Raw genomic sequence first — 17,083 nt, 5'->3', positions numbered from 1 at the left:
GAACACACTACTGACACGTGCAACAAACCGGATGAATCTCCAGGGAATTATGCTGAGTGAAAAAAAAAAAAAAAAAGATCCCAAAAGGTTATATACAGCATGGTTCCATTTATATAACAGTCTAGAAATGACAAAATTCTAGAAATGGAGAACAGATTCGTGGCTGCCAGGGGTTAAGGAGAGGGTGCCGGGGTTAATTAGTGGATGTGACTCTGAAAGAGCGATCTAAGGCATTGATGTCTAAGGCATTGATGCCAAAAGCTGGTTGTGATGTTGTGCCATAGCTTTGCAAGATGTTACCACTGAAGAGAACTTGGTAACGAGTAAAGAGGATTGTCTATATTATTTCCTGTAATTGCATGAGAATCTACAATTGTCTCAAAAGAGTTGAATTAAGAAATCTGAAGCAAACTTTAAAGACTATGTTTTTGTATTGCTTTCAAAACTAAAAAGAAAATAAGTGACCTACGGGGAATATATATTTAACACAAATTACAAAGGATTAATATTATTATTATTATTATTATTATAACGCGACCTTTATGTGATTAAGAAAAGAGCAGACAACTCAATAGAAAAGTAAGAAAACGCTACAAACAAGGAATTCTGAAACTAAGAAATGCAAGTGGTCAGCCATAGCGTGACCATAAGCCCTCACTGACCCTCCAGTCAGCACTCACTTCTACTCTTAAAATACTCCAGATTGGACAATAAATGATATGATCGTCTTACTAATATACCAATAAAAAGATGTTTACCTTTGTAAGTAGTGAAAGAAACGTGAACAGTTATTGTTTTTCCCTATCAGCTGTTGAAGAATAAAGGTTTGCTAATTCTCACTGTTGCAGCAGTGTAGGAAAGGTATATGCTTATGCTGTCCTGATGAGCCTATAAATAGACTCAGCTTTTTGGGAGGGTGATTTTCAACATGTTTTTAAAAACCTTTAAAAAGTGTATTCCCATGAACAGCAATTCCATTTCTAGAAAATGAGACAAGTATACAAAGATGAACGTTCAAAGATTTTCATTGAAATGCTATATATGCATTGAAAAGAAACCAAGCAGCAAATGTTCGTTAATTAGGGATTATGGACAGAATGCTTATATAAATAATGGCACACACATACATGTATATTTGATGAAATATTATGAAGCCATCATACACACACACACACACACACACACACACACACACACACACACACACAGGAAGCATATACCAGACATTAATGTTGCCATATCTTGGTAAGTGGGATACTTGTTAAATGCTTACTTGCTTCTTTATTCTATCCTATATTTTCTAAATTATTTTCTTTTTTCTTTTTATATATATATATTTTTATTATACTTTAAGTTCTAGGGTACATGTGCACAACGTGCAGGCTTGTTACGTATGTATACATGTGCCATGTTGGTGTGCTGCACCCATCAACTCGTCATTTAGCATTAGGTATATCTCCTAATGCTATCCCTCCCCCCTACCCCCACCCCACAACAGGCCCCGGTGTGTGATGTTCCCCTTCCTGTGTCCAAGTGTTCTCATTGTTCAATTCCCACCTATGACTGAGAACATGCGGTGTTTGGTTTTTTTGTCCTTGCGATAATTTGCTGAGAATGATGGTTTCCAGCTTCATCCATGTCCCTACAAAGAACATGAACTCATCATTTTTTATGGCTGCATAGTATTTCATGGTGTATATGTGCCACATTTTCTTAATCCAGTGTATGGTTGTTGGACATTTGGGTTGGTTCCAAGTCTTTGCTATTGTGAGTAGTGCTGCAATAAACATACGTGTGCATGTGTCTTTATAGCAGCATGATTTATATTCCTTTGGGCATATACCCAGTAATGGGATGACTGGGTCAAATGATATTTCCCAAATTATTTTCAAAAGGCATATACTGTTTGTATAATCATGATACAGCAAATCTGTTTTTAAAGGATCAAGAAAATTATACCTAGAGGATCAAGGTAACTTCAAGGAGATGAAGTGAAGCAAGAAAACTCAGTGTCACTTAGGAAAGTGGCCTTGAGGATGTGGAAATTGATTCGGCATCTAAGAATATTGTTAGGGATGGGCCTAGCCAGCTTGAAAAATATCGTCACCTTACTGTTCTGTGTTTGAATGCAGTGACTCTGCATTCAAAATGAGAACATGAGATAGGTATTTTGTAAACAATAACATGTAATGAAAATGTTGGTATAATTATTAAAAGTGGCCTCTCCATGGAGCTGAGGTAGGATTTAAGGGCTGCTCTGAAACTGATGAGCAAGTTGGATTGTGAACCAGATCCCCAGCCCTCAGTTTATGCTCACCCTTTGGCCGTCCTTGGGTGTCACGCTGAGATGCCACGTAGTGTGGTACCAGAAGCAAAGATTTGGGCAATGTTTAAAACATGGGCTCAAATTCTGATGGACCCATTTGCTACCTTAGAAAACCTGGGCAGATTGCTATAATTCCCCATGGTGCTTCATTCACTTAAAATTGAAGAAAATAATGATTCTCATGTTACAGGAGTGTTCTGAGGATCCAGTGACACAGGGCATGTGGAAGGGCTTTGTCAGTGCACATCTGCAAAGCTCAGCTATGATTATCAGAGAGGCAGTATCCATAGTAGGAAGAGCATGGGTGCTCCAGTTAGAAGCCAGAGTGGCCGCTTTGTAGTCACATGAACTAGATAAGTTACTTAAACTCTAAACTTTTGTTTTCTTGTCTGTAAAATAAATATAACAGCTTCCTCATAGTGTCTTCCATGAAAACCAAGTGAGATAGTGAGGGAGAGAAGAAAACTCACATTTATTGAGTACCTGCTTTGTGTCAGGCACAAACTAGGTGCTCTTCTATGACAGTAAGCAAACAAATATAAGGCATATTTTCCCCCAAAGTATCCTTTGATATAGACAGCTTTGCCTTACACTCAGGTCCTTACAATGTTTCTTATATTATGGGATGTTCTCTGTTATTCTATTTTATATTTTTCAGTTTTATTTGAGACAGGGTCTTGCTCTGTTGCCCAGGTTGGAGTGCAGTGGTGTGTTCATGGCTCCCTGCAACTTTGGCCTTCTGGGCTCAAGCGATCCTCCTGCTTCAGACTTCAGGGTAGCTGGGACTGCAGGTGCACACCACCACGCCCAGCTGATTTTTAAATTTTTTGTAGAGACGAGTTCTCACTGTATTAGCCAGGCTGATCTCGAACTCCTGGGCTCAAGTGATCCTCTCACTTTGGCCTCCCAAATTGCTGGGATTATAGGTGTGAGCCACTGCGCCCAGCCAATTATTTTAATTTGGAACAACAAAGTACCATTTGGGGAAGGCATACGAGAACAAAATGACTCAATGGTGCTGATTTTGGACACATGGAGGTAATCAGGTGGGACCTGTAAAACAGGAGGCCTAAGCACCAAATCAGAAGCAACACTCCAGGGTGGTGAGCCAGCCCATGAGGAGCCTGATCATGAACCAGAATCTGCAGGGGCGTTATTTAGCATTCCCCACATCTTCAGTGAAATCACTTCTTTGGTAATATGAATATTGTCAAGACTGGGAGTAGTTAGAAATATTGCTTTGCTCTCCTTTATGAACAAGGCACAATAAGGTGGTAAACCTAGAACCACAGTCAGCCCATGACCCTCTGTCCCTTCCTTCACAGAGGACCCTCTTGCCTGATCCCACCCAGAACTGTCCAGTGCTGTCCTAGAACTATCACGACATCTGCCCCAGCTGGAGTCTTCAATGCATGGTGCTTGCTGGAGTGGCTAGGCCAGAGTGGGTCTTCCCCAAACTGCCGAACAAGTTGAATGAGTGTATTTGTGCTTCCTTGCCAATATGCATCTATATGTCATATGGAGTTCAATTAGACATTTTTGAGGTCATAGGGAAGGGATTTATAGTTCCCCAGAAGTCTCTAACCTCAAGAGGTTAATAGTAGTTGTAAAAAGAACCTGAAATTTTCTGAAAGGCTGAATTTGCTTAAGTCAGAAAGCAGCACTGTCTGTTTCTCCCCCAAGACTATAAACTCCTTTAAAGGTAGGGATCATGATATTTTAGCTTCTTTCAAATGCCTAGTATTTGTACTAGCTTTGTACAAAAGTAAATATAGGAAGCAGATATGTTTACTGACTAAAAGTGTGGGATTTGGAATAAAATTTCCTATGTTCTAACCCTGGCTTTTGCATACAGTGAGAGACTTTGGGGAACTTACTTAAGCTCACTATGCCTCAGTTTCCTCCTCTGTAGAATGTGAGTGGTAACAACAGTACCCACTTCATAGAGTCATTGTGGATATTAATAGATATGTAGAGCTCAGAACAGCATGTGACCTTCAATAAAGGTTAGTTATTCTCAATAAGTAGGTGTAAAATGTTTGTTATGTAAATGAATAGTAGTAATATAGAGTTCTGGCAATTGCTCAAGAGCTCTGTTCGGGCCAGCTATTATTGTGCAATTAGTTGCCATAAATCTGTTACCACTTCCAAGATATGTATCCCTGTCAAGAAATCCACCTGCACCTCACACTAAGCCACCGCTGGCAGGGTTGGAAGGAATCTGCACAGCCAGCCTCTCTGTCTCTGGTTCCTGCTTCTCACAAGACAGCAGAATGCTTTCTGGGAAGGCCACCAGGAATCCAATCCCAACTCATTCATAATGGGTCCTATTTTTTCCTCACCAAGTGACCTCCCCACCAGGATGTTGGTGATGACAATGGGTAGACATTCTTCTTTGCTCCATTGCATCTCATTACTTAACTCTCCTCCTTCCCCAGCTATGCTAAGTGATGCCCAGAATGTGAACCTGAATTTGGTTTCTGTCAACTCTTGGAAGAGGCTTTTCACATTAGAACTGGGTTTGGCAATGCTTCTGTGGTTAGGCTAACATGTGGTGTGCTTGTATAGTTTGCAGCATCATATGGGTTTGTACACGTCCAGAAGCACCAGCACATGCACACAGGATCCACATGGAGTGGTGTACATACCCTATTGCACGTACACACGTTCACACCCCTTCTCTTCTTCACACAGTGTTCAGACTTATCCTGAAAAGACCTGACATAGCGACCAAGGTGTGGGGCCTTGGAGCGCAATCCACTTTAATTCATTCATCCTGTTGCTTCACACTGTTTTGAAGACCCAGGGCCCCTACCCTGATGTTTATTCTCTTCCTGTCACCCACTTGGCTCCCATCCTTTCCTCCTCCACCCCTGGGGAGGTTCTGCCCTGCGGTACAAGGCTGGGGTGTGTGTGTGTGTGCTCAGTGTGATGACTCGCTCTAAATGCAGCCTTCAGGCCCTTTGTGTCCCACCAGGAGGGTGTCAGGGCATGGTCCTCCCATGCTGACAGTCCACCCATTAGCCCTGGGCTGTGATGGTGAGGATAGGTATAGGGGAAGGAACATTCCAGACTTGAGGGCTGAGATTCTATCTTCTCAGGGCTGACTTCTTTACTCTGGTTGCTGCTTGTCTTAGGAGACCGTGCCCCTAAAACCCCTAAGCATTTAGAGGCTGCTGCCTCCCATATCCTGGAAATAGTCCAGCTTGTTAGGCAAATCCCTGAGATGGCTGGTGTTGCATGCCGAGAGAGCAAATAGAAGCATGGTCTCCATGAGGAGGAGGAAAGGTATCTCCTCCTTGTCTAAGATGGTGACAACATGGCCTTCACACACAGAGGAGGCAATTTAACAGTTGGTGTCTATGGCTACTTCAGTGTGTCTCTATAAATAGAGAGCTTTCCAGAAAAACCTTCCTAGTGAATTTTCTTATCAGTCCCTTAAATAGTGTTGACTGAGAGGGAGAAGCAAGGCTATATTAGCTTTTCACCAGTAAGTGAAAGGCATGGCTGATAAATGAGGCAAGGGAGATGTTAGTGAGGTTGAGTAGGTGAACTCTCCACCAGAGAGCAATGAGGGATATTGTTTAAGAGCTGTGGACTCTTTCATCTTGCATGTATATTTTTCCCCAACTAATTATGCACTGGCTTTGGCAAAGAGAATGGATAATTCAGGTAAGACATGTTTGTATTCTGGTTGTCAAGGAGACAGGGAATCCATTTGCTTAGCTTAATGCACAGGTACACTTAGTAAGCACACCCAGCATTTAGATTTCTGGACTTTTACCAAATCTCTACATCTCTGCCCCAAATCTATCTTGAGTTTAGTCATTGTGGCATATTCTCTTCATGTTTCTCTTATCTCTATCACTCCCTCAGCCTATGAAACTGCTGACATAAAATGAAATCCTTTGTGGTGAGAGAGTTTCAGCCAGCAGGAGACTCTGCCCAATGTTGGCAAGCCCCTAGAATGACAGACAGCAAAGAGAACATCTACAGCTCAGCTCCCAGCACCCTTTCCTCAGCCCACAGATCAGCTGGTTCAAAGGACAAGTGACTTACATGGAGTGATGTGGTTGTAAAAGGCTGGAGGGAAAGGGGCTTGGAGCCAGAGGGGAACATGCTGGACTTGAGGGCAAGAAGGCTGAATCATAGATGTTGTTTGGATAAGACAACATTGAGTGTTGTCAAATGCAGGTCAGAAAGTGACAAATGTGGAATTCTGACTAGGAAGGGAGAGAGGATGAGATGTGAGGAAACATGGCAGCAAAGTGTCTTGGATCCAGGTGCTGAGATGACAAGGTTTGCCTGGCAGGATGGTGGGAAAAGTTATGGGACCAGCTAGGTGAGCCTGGCCAGCTGTTCTGTTTCTCCTGGGATCTCTTGTGGAGACTGTTTTGCTTCAGTCAATGGGTAAACTACTACAGAGCCATAACTAGACTCCTTGTGAGTGTTCCCCAGGCCTCATTAGCCTTAGACCCAAGTGAGACGGACGACTGCAGACCAGATTTTGCTTGCCCAGCTGCATGCCCCTGTGGGACTTTGGTCCTCCCTTCACAATACGAGCCCCTCCCCGCCCCAGTATCTCTGAGAGTTCCAAGGCTCTGTCTCCTGTGCTCAGTGGTCAGCTCGGCTGTATAGCCACTGCATCCTAACTTTGTGGTCTGCTCTTTTAAAGGGTCTCACACGAAGTTGCTTGGACTACAGAAGTTTTGTGGATCAGGTTTGAGTTACATGTAATCCTTTCTCTTCAGGACACACTCAGCCATCACCAAAATGGATAGTTAGGAGGAAGCCCAACAAAAGCCACACCTCTCTCTCTCCCATTATCTTCCTTCTCTGGGATCCAACCTCCTTAAGGAGACACACCATTTTCATTTCTTCCAGTTGGCCTTCTTTTGTCTTCTCCTCCCCCATTACAGTTCACCAGTTGAGGAGGCACGTTCAGCAAATATATTGTTGCAGATGAATAAATCAACAAATACAGATATATTCTGAAAATTTGGCATAAATGAGAGGAGCAGATGAAGCGTCAGGCACAGAAAGCCCCCCAGGAGAGGTAAGTCGGGTCAGACGGAGAAGGCTCTGAGGGCTGATGTTATTGGAGATGGGGAAGGTAGATGACCTAGGTGCTTCCATAGCAACCTGGGCTTTCCTCTGAATCACCTGCCATAGTGATGGGACTTTGTTATTGCTCTTTCAGCTGTCTTGCACTAATCTAGGAGCATCAGAGACTGAAGTTTTAATCTCTGTATTCCCAGAACCCAGCTCATTTCCTGATATGGGACAGGTGTTCAAAACACAGAAGAATAGCTCAGGAAAAGATCTGGAGGCAACACAGGCAAATCACAGGCCAGGGGCAGTCAACAACGCTGCTTGGTTTAGAGTGATAGATACATGTAGGGAAATGACAGTTAGCCTTGAGTGCTGAGATTTTACTCAACAATGAGTCAGAAGCCAAAATCAATCCTGGAGTGTGGATCTGACAACAGGGCTTGAGAATTAATTTTTAGGTGTTGTATGTGTTGTGGGGCACAGGGAGGGAGACAGGAAAAAAGAGGCTGTGGGTTGAGGAACCCACCAATGAGGTGCTGCAGGAAGTCAGTGTGAGACAAGGGAGGTCAGGGCTGGAGGGGTACTTAGGGGACTAAAAGGGAGGAGCAGAGGGTAGGGTGAATGAGCAGGAATGAAAGCTGGATTGTATGAAAGACTCAGAGAGTGGGTTTACTCACTTGCTCCTTCACCTTTCATTCATGCATCCACACCTGCCTTCTTCAGCATTGGGCTGTGCAAGTGCCTGGGTTCAGTGATCGTCTCTGCTGGCTGTAGGGCAGCAGTCAGAGGGGACATCACAGGCCTCCAGAGGGTGGCCATGCAGCACAGTGTGGACTCGAGATTCAGTCTGTGCTGGTTAACGTCCTGATTCTGCCTGTGTGGTCCTGGGCAATTTATTTAACTTCTTCAAAGCTCACTCTCCTCATCAGATAATGACCAACTCCATAGGGTTATATGGAGGACTGCCTGAGATAATGCGCTGAGCTAACAAACGCTAGCTATTACACGATAAAGGAATGTTTGTGAAACACCTGCTATGGGTTAGGCACTGTGATAGATGTCAGGATGCCGAGAGAGATAAGACCTCATCTTGTCCTCTAGCACCCCAAAGACAACCTTAGGGGACAGGGAGGGAAATTAGCAAACTACACTGTGTACTGTAATGTGGTAAATAATCTAATAGAAGGATGACATTCGTGCCATGAAATTCAGACAAAGGGATTAATGGGGCTTGGGGAATTCAGGCAGATGCCACAAAAGAAATAGTAATTGAACTGGGCTTTGAAAAGGAGTAGAAATTTGGAAGGTGAGTGGAGGGAGAAATCAAAAAGAATTTCAGATAAAAGGAACATCATGGACAAAAGGAACATCACAGACAAAAGGGACATCATGTACAAAACAGCAAAGGCTAAGGGCCCACCACTCTTGCAGGGTTTTCTTGGGGATGAGAAGAGGCACCACATGCAGGCGGCCGGGCCACAGGTACAGAGGAAGCAGCAACCAACCAGTGAACACTCATTTCCTCCCTCTCTTTGCTGAACTCCACCTATGTCATCTTTAGAAAGCTTATAGCTCAAACCCAGAAAATGAAGAAACATCTCAAAAAAGAGGAGAAAGAAAGCAGGGATCCTGTTCATATCCTTCGCCCACTTTTTGATGGTGGGGTTGTTTGTTTTTTTCTTGTAAATTTGTTTGAGTTCATTGTAGATTCTGGATATTAGCCCTTTGTCAGATGAGTAGGTTGCAAAAATTTTCTCCCATTCTGTAGGTTGCCTGTTCACTCTGATGGTAGTTTCTTTTGCTGTGCAGAAGCTCTTTAGTTTAATCAGATCCCATTTGTCAATTTTGGCTTTTGTTGCCATTGCTTTTGGTGTTTTAGACATGAAGTCCTTGCCCATGCCTATATGAACAGACACTTCTCAAAAGAAGATATTCATGCAGCCAAAAAGCACATGAAAAAATGTTCATCATCACTGGCCATCAGAGAAATGCAAATCAAAATCGCAGTGAGATACCATCTCACACCAGTTAGAATGGCGATCATTAAAAAGTCAGGAAACAACGGGTGCTGGAGAGGATGTGGAAAAATAGGAACACTTTTACACTGTTGGTGGGACTGTAAGCTAGTTCAACCATTGTGGAAGTCGGTGTGGCGATTCCTCAGGGATGTAGAACTAGAAATACCATTTGACCCAGCCATCCCATTACTGGGTATATACCCAAAGGATTATAAATTATGCTGCTATAAGGACACATGCACACATATATTTATTGCGGCACTATTCACAATAGCAAAGACTTGGAACCAACCCAAATGTCCAACAACAATAGACTGGATTAAGAAAATGTGGCAGATATACACCATGGTATACTATGCAGCCATAAAAAATGATGAGTTCATGTCCTTTGTAGGGACATGGATGAAGCTGGAAACCATCATTCTCAGCAAACTATCACAAGGGCAAAAAACCAAACACCGCATGTTCTCAGTCATAGGTGGGAATTGAACAATGAGAACACATGGACACAGGAAGGGGAACATCACACACCAGGGATGGTTGTGGGGTGGGGGTAGGGGGGAGGGATAGCATTAGGAGATATACCTAATGCTAAATGATGAGTTAATGGGTGCAGCACACCAACATGGCACATGTATACATATGTAACAAACCTGCACGTTGTGCACATGTACCCTAAAACTTAAAGTATAATAATAACAAAATAAAAGAAAAAAGAAAAAAAAAAAAGAAAGCAGGGATCCTAAGACCAGATTTTTGTAACCGTGATTAATGAGTGAATGAAGAGAGAGTGAAGTAAGTGTCTGCAAAAGAGGCTGACAGAGGTCACTCAGGGTGAGAGGAGCAGAACCAAGAGGGTTCATGTCACATAAACCGAGGAAGGAGAAGTCTCCAGAATGAGATTGGTCAATTATGTCAAATGTAATGAGAGGTCAGAAATGGAAGAATGTTACCAAGGCTGCTTCTAGTGGCCTTCGGCGGTCTCCTTGGGAGTTTCCATGGTAACAGTGGTTGTTGTGCAGGGCCTGGCCCTCCAGTGTCTGCCACAGCTCAAGTGACATTTCTTCTTCCCCTGGTATCCCCACTTGCCCTCTGCACCCCCACCCCAGGACATGACCAGGTCCACAGTGCAGGCAGATCCCAGAGAGGTGGGAGGAAGAGGGTACCCCAGCTCTATCCATGGGCCACCTCACAGACCCAGCCACTCCCCCTGGAAGGCCCCAGCCACCTGAACCTTCTGGAAGGTTGGGGCCTCAGGCAGGAGAATCTCAGTGGCATGAAGGACAGCTGCCTGACATTCCCTATTCAGCTTAGGGGAGCAATGAGTTAAGACCAAAATAAAGCAAGGCAAAGGCTCCTTATGTTACTATGTAGCTGGCGTTGGTCTTCAAACTACCTGGCAATGCAGTTCTCCCAGGAGATGACTTTAAAGGACTCAGACCACAAATATTTAATGACAAATAGACTTGGTTGACAAGATAAAGTCCTACAAGAATGGGTCATTCACAAATGCACTGGTAAGTAGTGAGACCACATTAAATCCTTTCAATATCCACCTATTCCAGCACCTGTAATGAAACTCAGGGAGTTTACAGTTCCCAAAAACTGCATATTCGTGGGTTTGCCTTTGCTCGAATCTTATGTCAATACATAGGATATGGACTCCCTCTGCTTCATAGTGGAAACCCTGAAGACAGAAATTACATTTGAAAATATGGTAATACAGCGGAGAAGACAAACACAGTATGTTCCCTTTTTTTCTGGCTTCCTCTTCTTTGCTCCCCAAATTGCCTCCTATTTTCTAAAATTTAAACAGTGAATCGATTCTGAAGAACTACAGTAGATAGCAATGTAAACTAATATGTTAATGTTTAATTCACTTTTGGTTTACCAGGCATTGAAAACTTTGAACAAAATGGACTTAAATAAAGATAAAAGATGGATGCAAATCTTTATATAATTTTGGCAGGAAAAAAAGGCAAAAGCAAAGGATTAAGGAGGAATTAGTCCCATCAGGGACTGGGCTGTATTTTCACTGGTTCTCATCCTGCTAGATCTTCCTCACTTGCTAGTTGGTCACCAAATATGAATCTAGCATCTGCTAATTGCAAAGCAGAGTATTTGGCACGTGAGAGTTCAACAAAGAAGAATGATACTCTAAAAACCCCCTTCATCTTCACCTATCTCAGAGATCCTTTCCTGGCCCCCAGACTAGGTGAGGGCACCCATTGTGTGCTTGTGCAACACCCTGTGTGTTTTTGTGTCTATTTCACAACAGCTATCATGCTTGTGTTTACTTGATCAATGTCTGTCTCCCCACAAAATGTAAGCTCAAAGAAGACAATGAATCTTGATGAATCGATCCCACTTGTATCTGGAACATCTCATACACTGCCTGACACACAGAGTAGGTCTTCAATACACAATGCGTGAATGAATGAAATGAGCAAACAATGGAAAATAAACACCATTTCTAGGTTACTGAGATTATTAATTCATCCCTCTTCTGGAACAGCAATGGAAGTTAGGTCCTTCAAATATCAGCTCACTCCCCACTCCTCCTCTATATCCTTTCTTTCTTTCTTTCTTTCTTTCTTTCTTTCTTTCTTTCTTTCTTTCTTTCTTTCTTTCTTTCTTTCTCTCTCTCTCTCTCTCTCTCTCTTTCTTTCTTTCTTTCTCTTTCTTTCTTTCTCTTTCTCCTTCCTTCCTTCCTAACTTCCTTCTCCTATTACTTCCATGTGCCTCACTTGCCACCTCTCCCACCAGTCCCTCAAATATTAAAAGAACAACATCATCATCAACAACAAAATGCACTCTGTCTGCATCCTGGAGGAGGCGGTGGTGTCTTCCTGGACTGCACAAGCACAAGCCCACATCCTTGGCTGTGTTGCCTGGGGTTTTTATGTAATAGGAACATGTTGATTGGTATGTACTCAGTTTGGAAAGAGAAGCCATGCCTTGTTGTGGCTTTGAGTTCAGACCATTTTTCTTTCATCTTTGAAGATGACAAGCGCTATAAGCAAAGAAAGTCAAAATGAGCCTGAATGTTTCAAGCTCTAGGCAAGGCAGGAAGAATGCCGTGCGGTGATATTGTTTAGAGAGAGACTCGGTAATTGCTGTACTGGAGAGCCGACATTTGCAGAACTCAATTGTGTGGCGTCCGACTGAGTAAGTTAGCAAAATAAAGACAGATGGCAATGGATTAACTCCAACACGCCCACCAAACAATGGCAGCCAAAATGGAGAACTGTGGTGTGCTCTAAAACACGCTCCTTCTGGGAGAGTTCACCCGGTGCCTCAATTAGATGCCACCTAGTGACTGACCAAAACATTGCATATTGCACAACCCTGCATATTTCGGACACAGCTTAAGGAGACCGCACCATAGATTGTTTGGCTTCGTTTTCAAAAGACGGAGAGATGCCAGGTCATGGCTGACTTGAAAACTTATAGTTTGATGTTTAGTTCACTGAGAAATAATGGTTGAAATCTCTGTTCTTCCTTGTATGCTTAGAGGAAAATAGAAAAACAAAAAGGAAAGAAAACAAATCCTGCAAGACAGGCAACTGCCTTTGATTTAGAAATGCATGACCTAGAGTTAGAGAAAAGCTTGAGGACAGTTTGTACATTCTGGTCCTGGCTTTATACAACTGAAACTGAGGATGGCAAATAATTTCATTACATCTAACAGCTCCAGTTGATTGTGAAGGCTCTCTGGACCATGAGGAATTATGAGGTGAGCTCCAAGGCTTGGGTTGGGACCCTGTGGTTATTGATGGTTGTCTGCCATACTGCAGAAGAGGAGAGTGGTGGAACATGGGTCCTTGTTGAACAACCGTACATCCTTAAACAATTAGGAAATCTCCTAATTTGTTTAATCGTGAGTGTTTAGAGAAACAGTTCTCCATATTCCTGAGAGTCTGAGGGCAGAAGCTGAAATGGGCAAAGAACATATAGAAAAGGTGACACTTTTCCATCTAAAGGAGAGACGAAGAAATAATGAGCAATTTTGTTATGATCTACCAAACTAAGGTTTCATTATGTTTGCCCCTCATTGTGGAAGGCACTGTTTGATTGGCAATTTGCACCACTACCATATATAATTTAGTCCTGGAGTATGTGCCAAGAACTTTGTAATGAAACCCTGGTTATTCCTAACTATAGGATTTATTTTTCAAGTGAAGGTCTAGACAATTTCAGTAACTGGCCCAGAGTGTGAGGTTGAGAACGGAAGGAGCTTTAGTTCTCAGGCTCCTCAACCACTACCTACCATGGTGGGCTGACGCTGCATTTCTTGCTTTTCCCTAGCAGTCACCTAGTCAGTGCTCCTGGCTAAAAGAGAGATCCTTTTCTCTTTTGACCCTTAACATCCACTGGTGACCAGGAAACAGTGCCAGCTATGTCTACAGATCTCGGGGACATGCAGTGTGGAGGGTCAGGTAGTTGTGTGGTTAACTGGTCTAGGTCTGCCCAACGGAGTCCATGTGTCAGGGTAAGAACCTGGATCCCCATCTGCTATACTTTTGTTTTCTCAAGTAACTCCCTAGAGGCCCATGTCTTTTGAGCTCAGTTTATAAACAGGGCAGAAAGCTGCACACACAGGCATCAAACTGCTCAGCCTTTTCTAGTTTTAATTCAACTTAACACTCATTGATTAACTGAATGCTTACCACATGCAAAACACTGTGCTAGGAGTCAAGACCCAGGAGTCAGACAAGGGTTCTAGCTTCAGCCCTGCATGGGGCAAGTTATTTTGCTGTCAGAGATCTCTGCTTCCACTTCAGTTAAATGAGAATACAGAGCTCAAGTAAACCCTCCAAATTCCTTTCTTAATCTAAAGCTTTACGGCTTTATGAAAAGAACGCTTGAAAAATGAGGCTTGGTTTCAGATTTGATGTGTTAAAATATGATAACTTTATTATTTCTTCATTCAAAAATATTTTTGAGTGCCCACTAATGTGCAATGAACAAGACAAAGCCCTTGACCTCACAGAGCCTACAGTCTACTTGGGGGAGACAATGAACAGACTTAATAGTAAATGCAAAATAAAATGTACCAGATGTGCCGTGAAGACACAAGGCAGAATAAGGAGATAAAGGGAGAAGGACCAGAGAAAGCCGCTCTGACTGATGTGGGGGAGAGAGCTATGTGAGGTCTGGAGAGAGTTCTGGGCCGAGATAGGTGCAAACGTGAGGGCTGTGGGGGAAAGCAGGCTTGGCACGCTTGAGGAACAGCAAGGGGGCACTTAGATAAATAGTTTACTCATCGCCACATGCAACCCACCCATCTGAGGAGCCTAGAAGAGTACCTCCAAGGAGACTGTAGTTGGTGAATGCCCCCTCTGTGCCAGGCACTATCCTAGGCATTGGGGGCACAGAGATGGGAAGGAGACACTACATGTGTGGGAGAAGTTCACATTTTAACGAACAGTCAGGGATGCCAATATGATGAAAGAAGCATTGTGACTAAAATTATGGCTGAGGGCAATGGGAATTCAGCAGAGAAGGTTGAGTTCAACATTTTAGTTGGGTCTTGCAGGATAAGGGGAGAACTGGACAGGCTGGAGATGAGGGACTGGAGGTTGCAAGGGCAGGCCCACATGGAAGTGTAAAGCATAACTGGGAAATAATTAGTCAAAGTCCAGATTGGCAAAGCACAGGGCAACAAGACTTTATTGTCAACAAAACCAGAATGGCTTTTGTGTCTCATCTGTTTTGATGTGAGTGTCATGTTTGGACTTTTTTCTGTAGGCCAGAGGTCCACAATATTCATTCTTAAGGACTCTCTTTAAATATTTTTTTCCTATGGCTCACGTGTCTTCATAAATTTGTTTTTAATCCCCCCAAATATTGGAATTAGTAAGAAGTAACTATTTTGTTTCCCCATTCAAAAAAGCCATCCAACCTTCATGACTTCCAATCAGAGCCACAGATAACCATGAAATACAGCATGTTACCACATTGAGTTGATCAAATTAGTCCCATGCTCCAACCTGACTGCAAGGGAGGCTGGAATATATGGGGATACACAAGGAATATTTGTTAATCACTAACTACCTCTGCTACATGGCATAAATGTACAATTTTGCCCCTGGATTCTTGGAGTTCAGGGGAGTCTTCAGTTGAGAATCCTACTCTGGCATTAAGAAGCAGAGGAGTGACAGGATTGGTTTGTTTTCCAGAAAGATCACTCAGGTGGAAGGTCAGAGGATGGACTGTCTGGGTAGACTGGAAGCAGGAGGACAAGTTGGGAGGCTCTTACTGCTCCAAATAAGAAAGGAGGAAGGCCTGACTCAACACATTGGTAGTGGGATGGAGCAAGGAACAGGCTCAAAATATAGTTTGGGTTAAAATTCCTCCGTGTTGATGACCAGGTATGCCATGCATGGGAATGAAGTGTCAGAGTTGATTCTTGGGTTCTTAGGCTGGATGAGTCAAAGGCACTGTCACGACTACAGCATGAGTCAGCAAGAGAGGCAGGGCCAGGCAGGCAGGACCCTCTTTCCCAGGGTGCAGGAATAATGGTTGCCAGTTATTCTTTTTTCACTTCTTATCTCATAATTTGCTGTATTCCTTTCCCATCCCAGAAAACACAGGTCTGAGTCACAGCTGTGGGAATGCAAAAGCCAAGACACCCAGGTAAAGGCAGACCTGGATGGAAGTTTTGGATCCAACCCAGGCATCAAAAACAATCTTGGCTCTACCCATCTAGGCTTAGGTGCTCTGTTGAGTGTCTGGGTCAAAGGCACCTACAATGGCCACCGTGGCCATCCCCTGGTGCTCCTTCTTCTCTTCCATTCACTTTCCTTCATTAGGTTTCTTCTTTTGGACTCTTCCCACTTGTCCCTACTGACCTTTCCTATTTGCACCAAGCATTATAGCAACCCCCTCAATCACTCAGGGAATACTGAAATCAAATGTATTCATGTACTTATTCAGAAACCCAGCCTGTTCTATCTCCCGTTAGACAACCACCTCACCTGTGGAGAGACCATGCCTTCCCAACTGCTGCAAAATAGAACCTCTCCCACCCCTTTCAATAAAGGGCCTACACTCCTTAATAAGGTTAGCCCACTCTGGACATTAGAACCCTGAATGAAAAAATCAACTGCATTTCTCTGCTTGAAGCATCTTCTTCTTAGCAGAATGTGCATGATAGGGTTTCTTTGAACTTTATATAGGCAATTAAAAACAAACAAACTTGAGATGAATTGAAACCACACTTAGAGACAAACTCTGCCCAGTTTGCTAAAAGTCCATCCTGTTTACTCAATATGATGAACTATGAATAACACATAAACAACATAATGCTATAGCCACAGTGTGGGACCATTATAACGGATATCAAAAGAGAATGGGCTTGGGCATCATGGAAAACTTGGTGGTTGGGTTCTAACTCCACCACGTAGTGCATCTTATAGAGCGTCACTATCCTTATCTGCAAACGAGGGATCCTACAAGTCAAATGGCAGTGCTGTGCTCAGCTTAAGCCCATGATATGTAGAGCACCTAGTGCAGGCCTTACAGAGTAAGAAACACTCAACAGAAAGTAGCCAGTGCTGCAATTATTCGTCCAGTCCCTTCTTGATGATGTTATGGTGTAACCTGAAATGTTTCTGCCTTCCTTCTTGTCTAGCTCCCGTTTGCTTGTTATCATCCTGACTTTGTGTCCTTCACTGATCCTCAT

The 17,083-nt window shown here is 43.2% G+C and overlaps 1 non-coding gene across 1 annotated transcript, besides 1 other annotated feature; it reads left to right on the top strand.

Annotated features, from left to right (window-relative positions):
- The first annotated feature begins 8,117 nt into the window (after window positions 1–8,117).
- MIR8079 (microRNA 8079) lies at window positions 8,118–8,189 on the top strand. The gene has a single exon (NR_107046.1). It is a non-coding gene; the product is annotated as a microRNA 8079 (primary transcript).
- Window positions 15,309–16,508: an enhancer, noted in NCBI's record as "P300/CBP strongly-dependent group 1 enhancer chr13:44761946-44763145 (GRCh37/hg19 assembly coordinates)". NCBI's record gives its function as "activates an origin of replication core promoter dependent on BRD2, BRD4, P300/CBP, MED14 and CDK7 cofactors, with strong dependence on P300/CBP, by STARR-seq in HCT116 cells {active_cell/tissue: HCT116}" and the evidence as "EXISTENCE:reporter gene assay evidence [ECO:0000049][PMID:35650434]".

The sequence above is a fragment of the Homo sapiens genome, chromosome 13 (assembly GCF_000001405.40).
Source record: "Homo sapiens chromosome 13, GRCh38.p14 Primary Assembly".
Lineage (NCBI taxonomy): Eukaryota > Metazoa > Chordata > Mammalia > Primates > Hominidae > Homo > Homo sapiens.
Note: the sequence above shows the minus strand (reverse complement) of the source record. Positions and strands in the feature narration are given on the sequence as shown.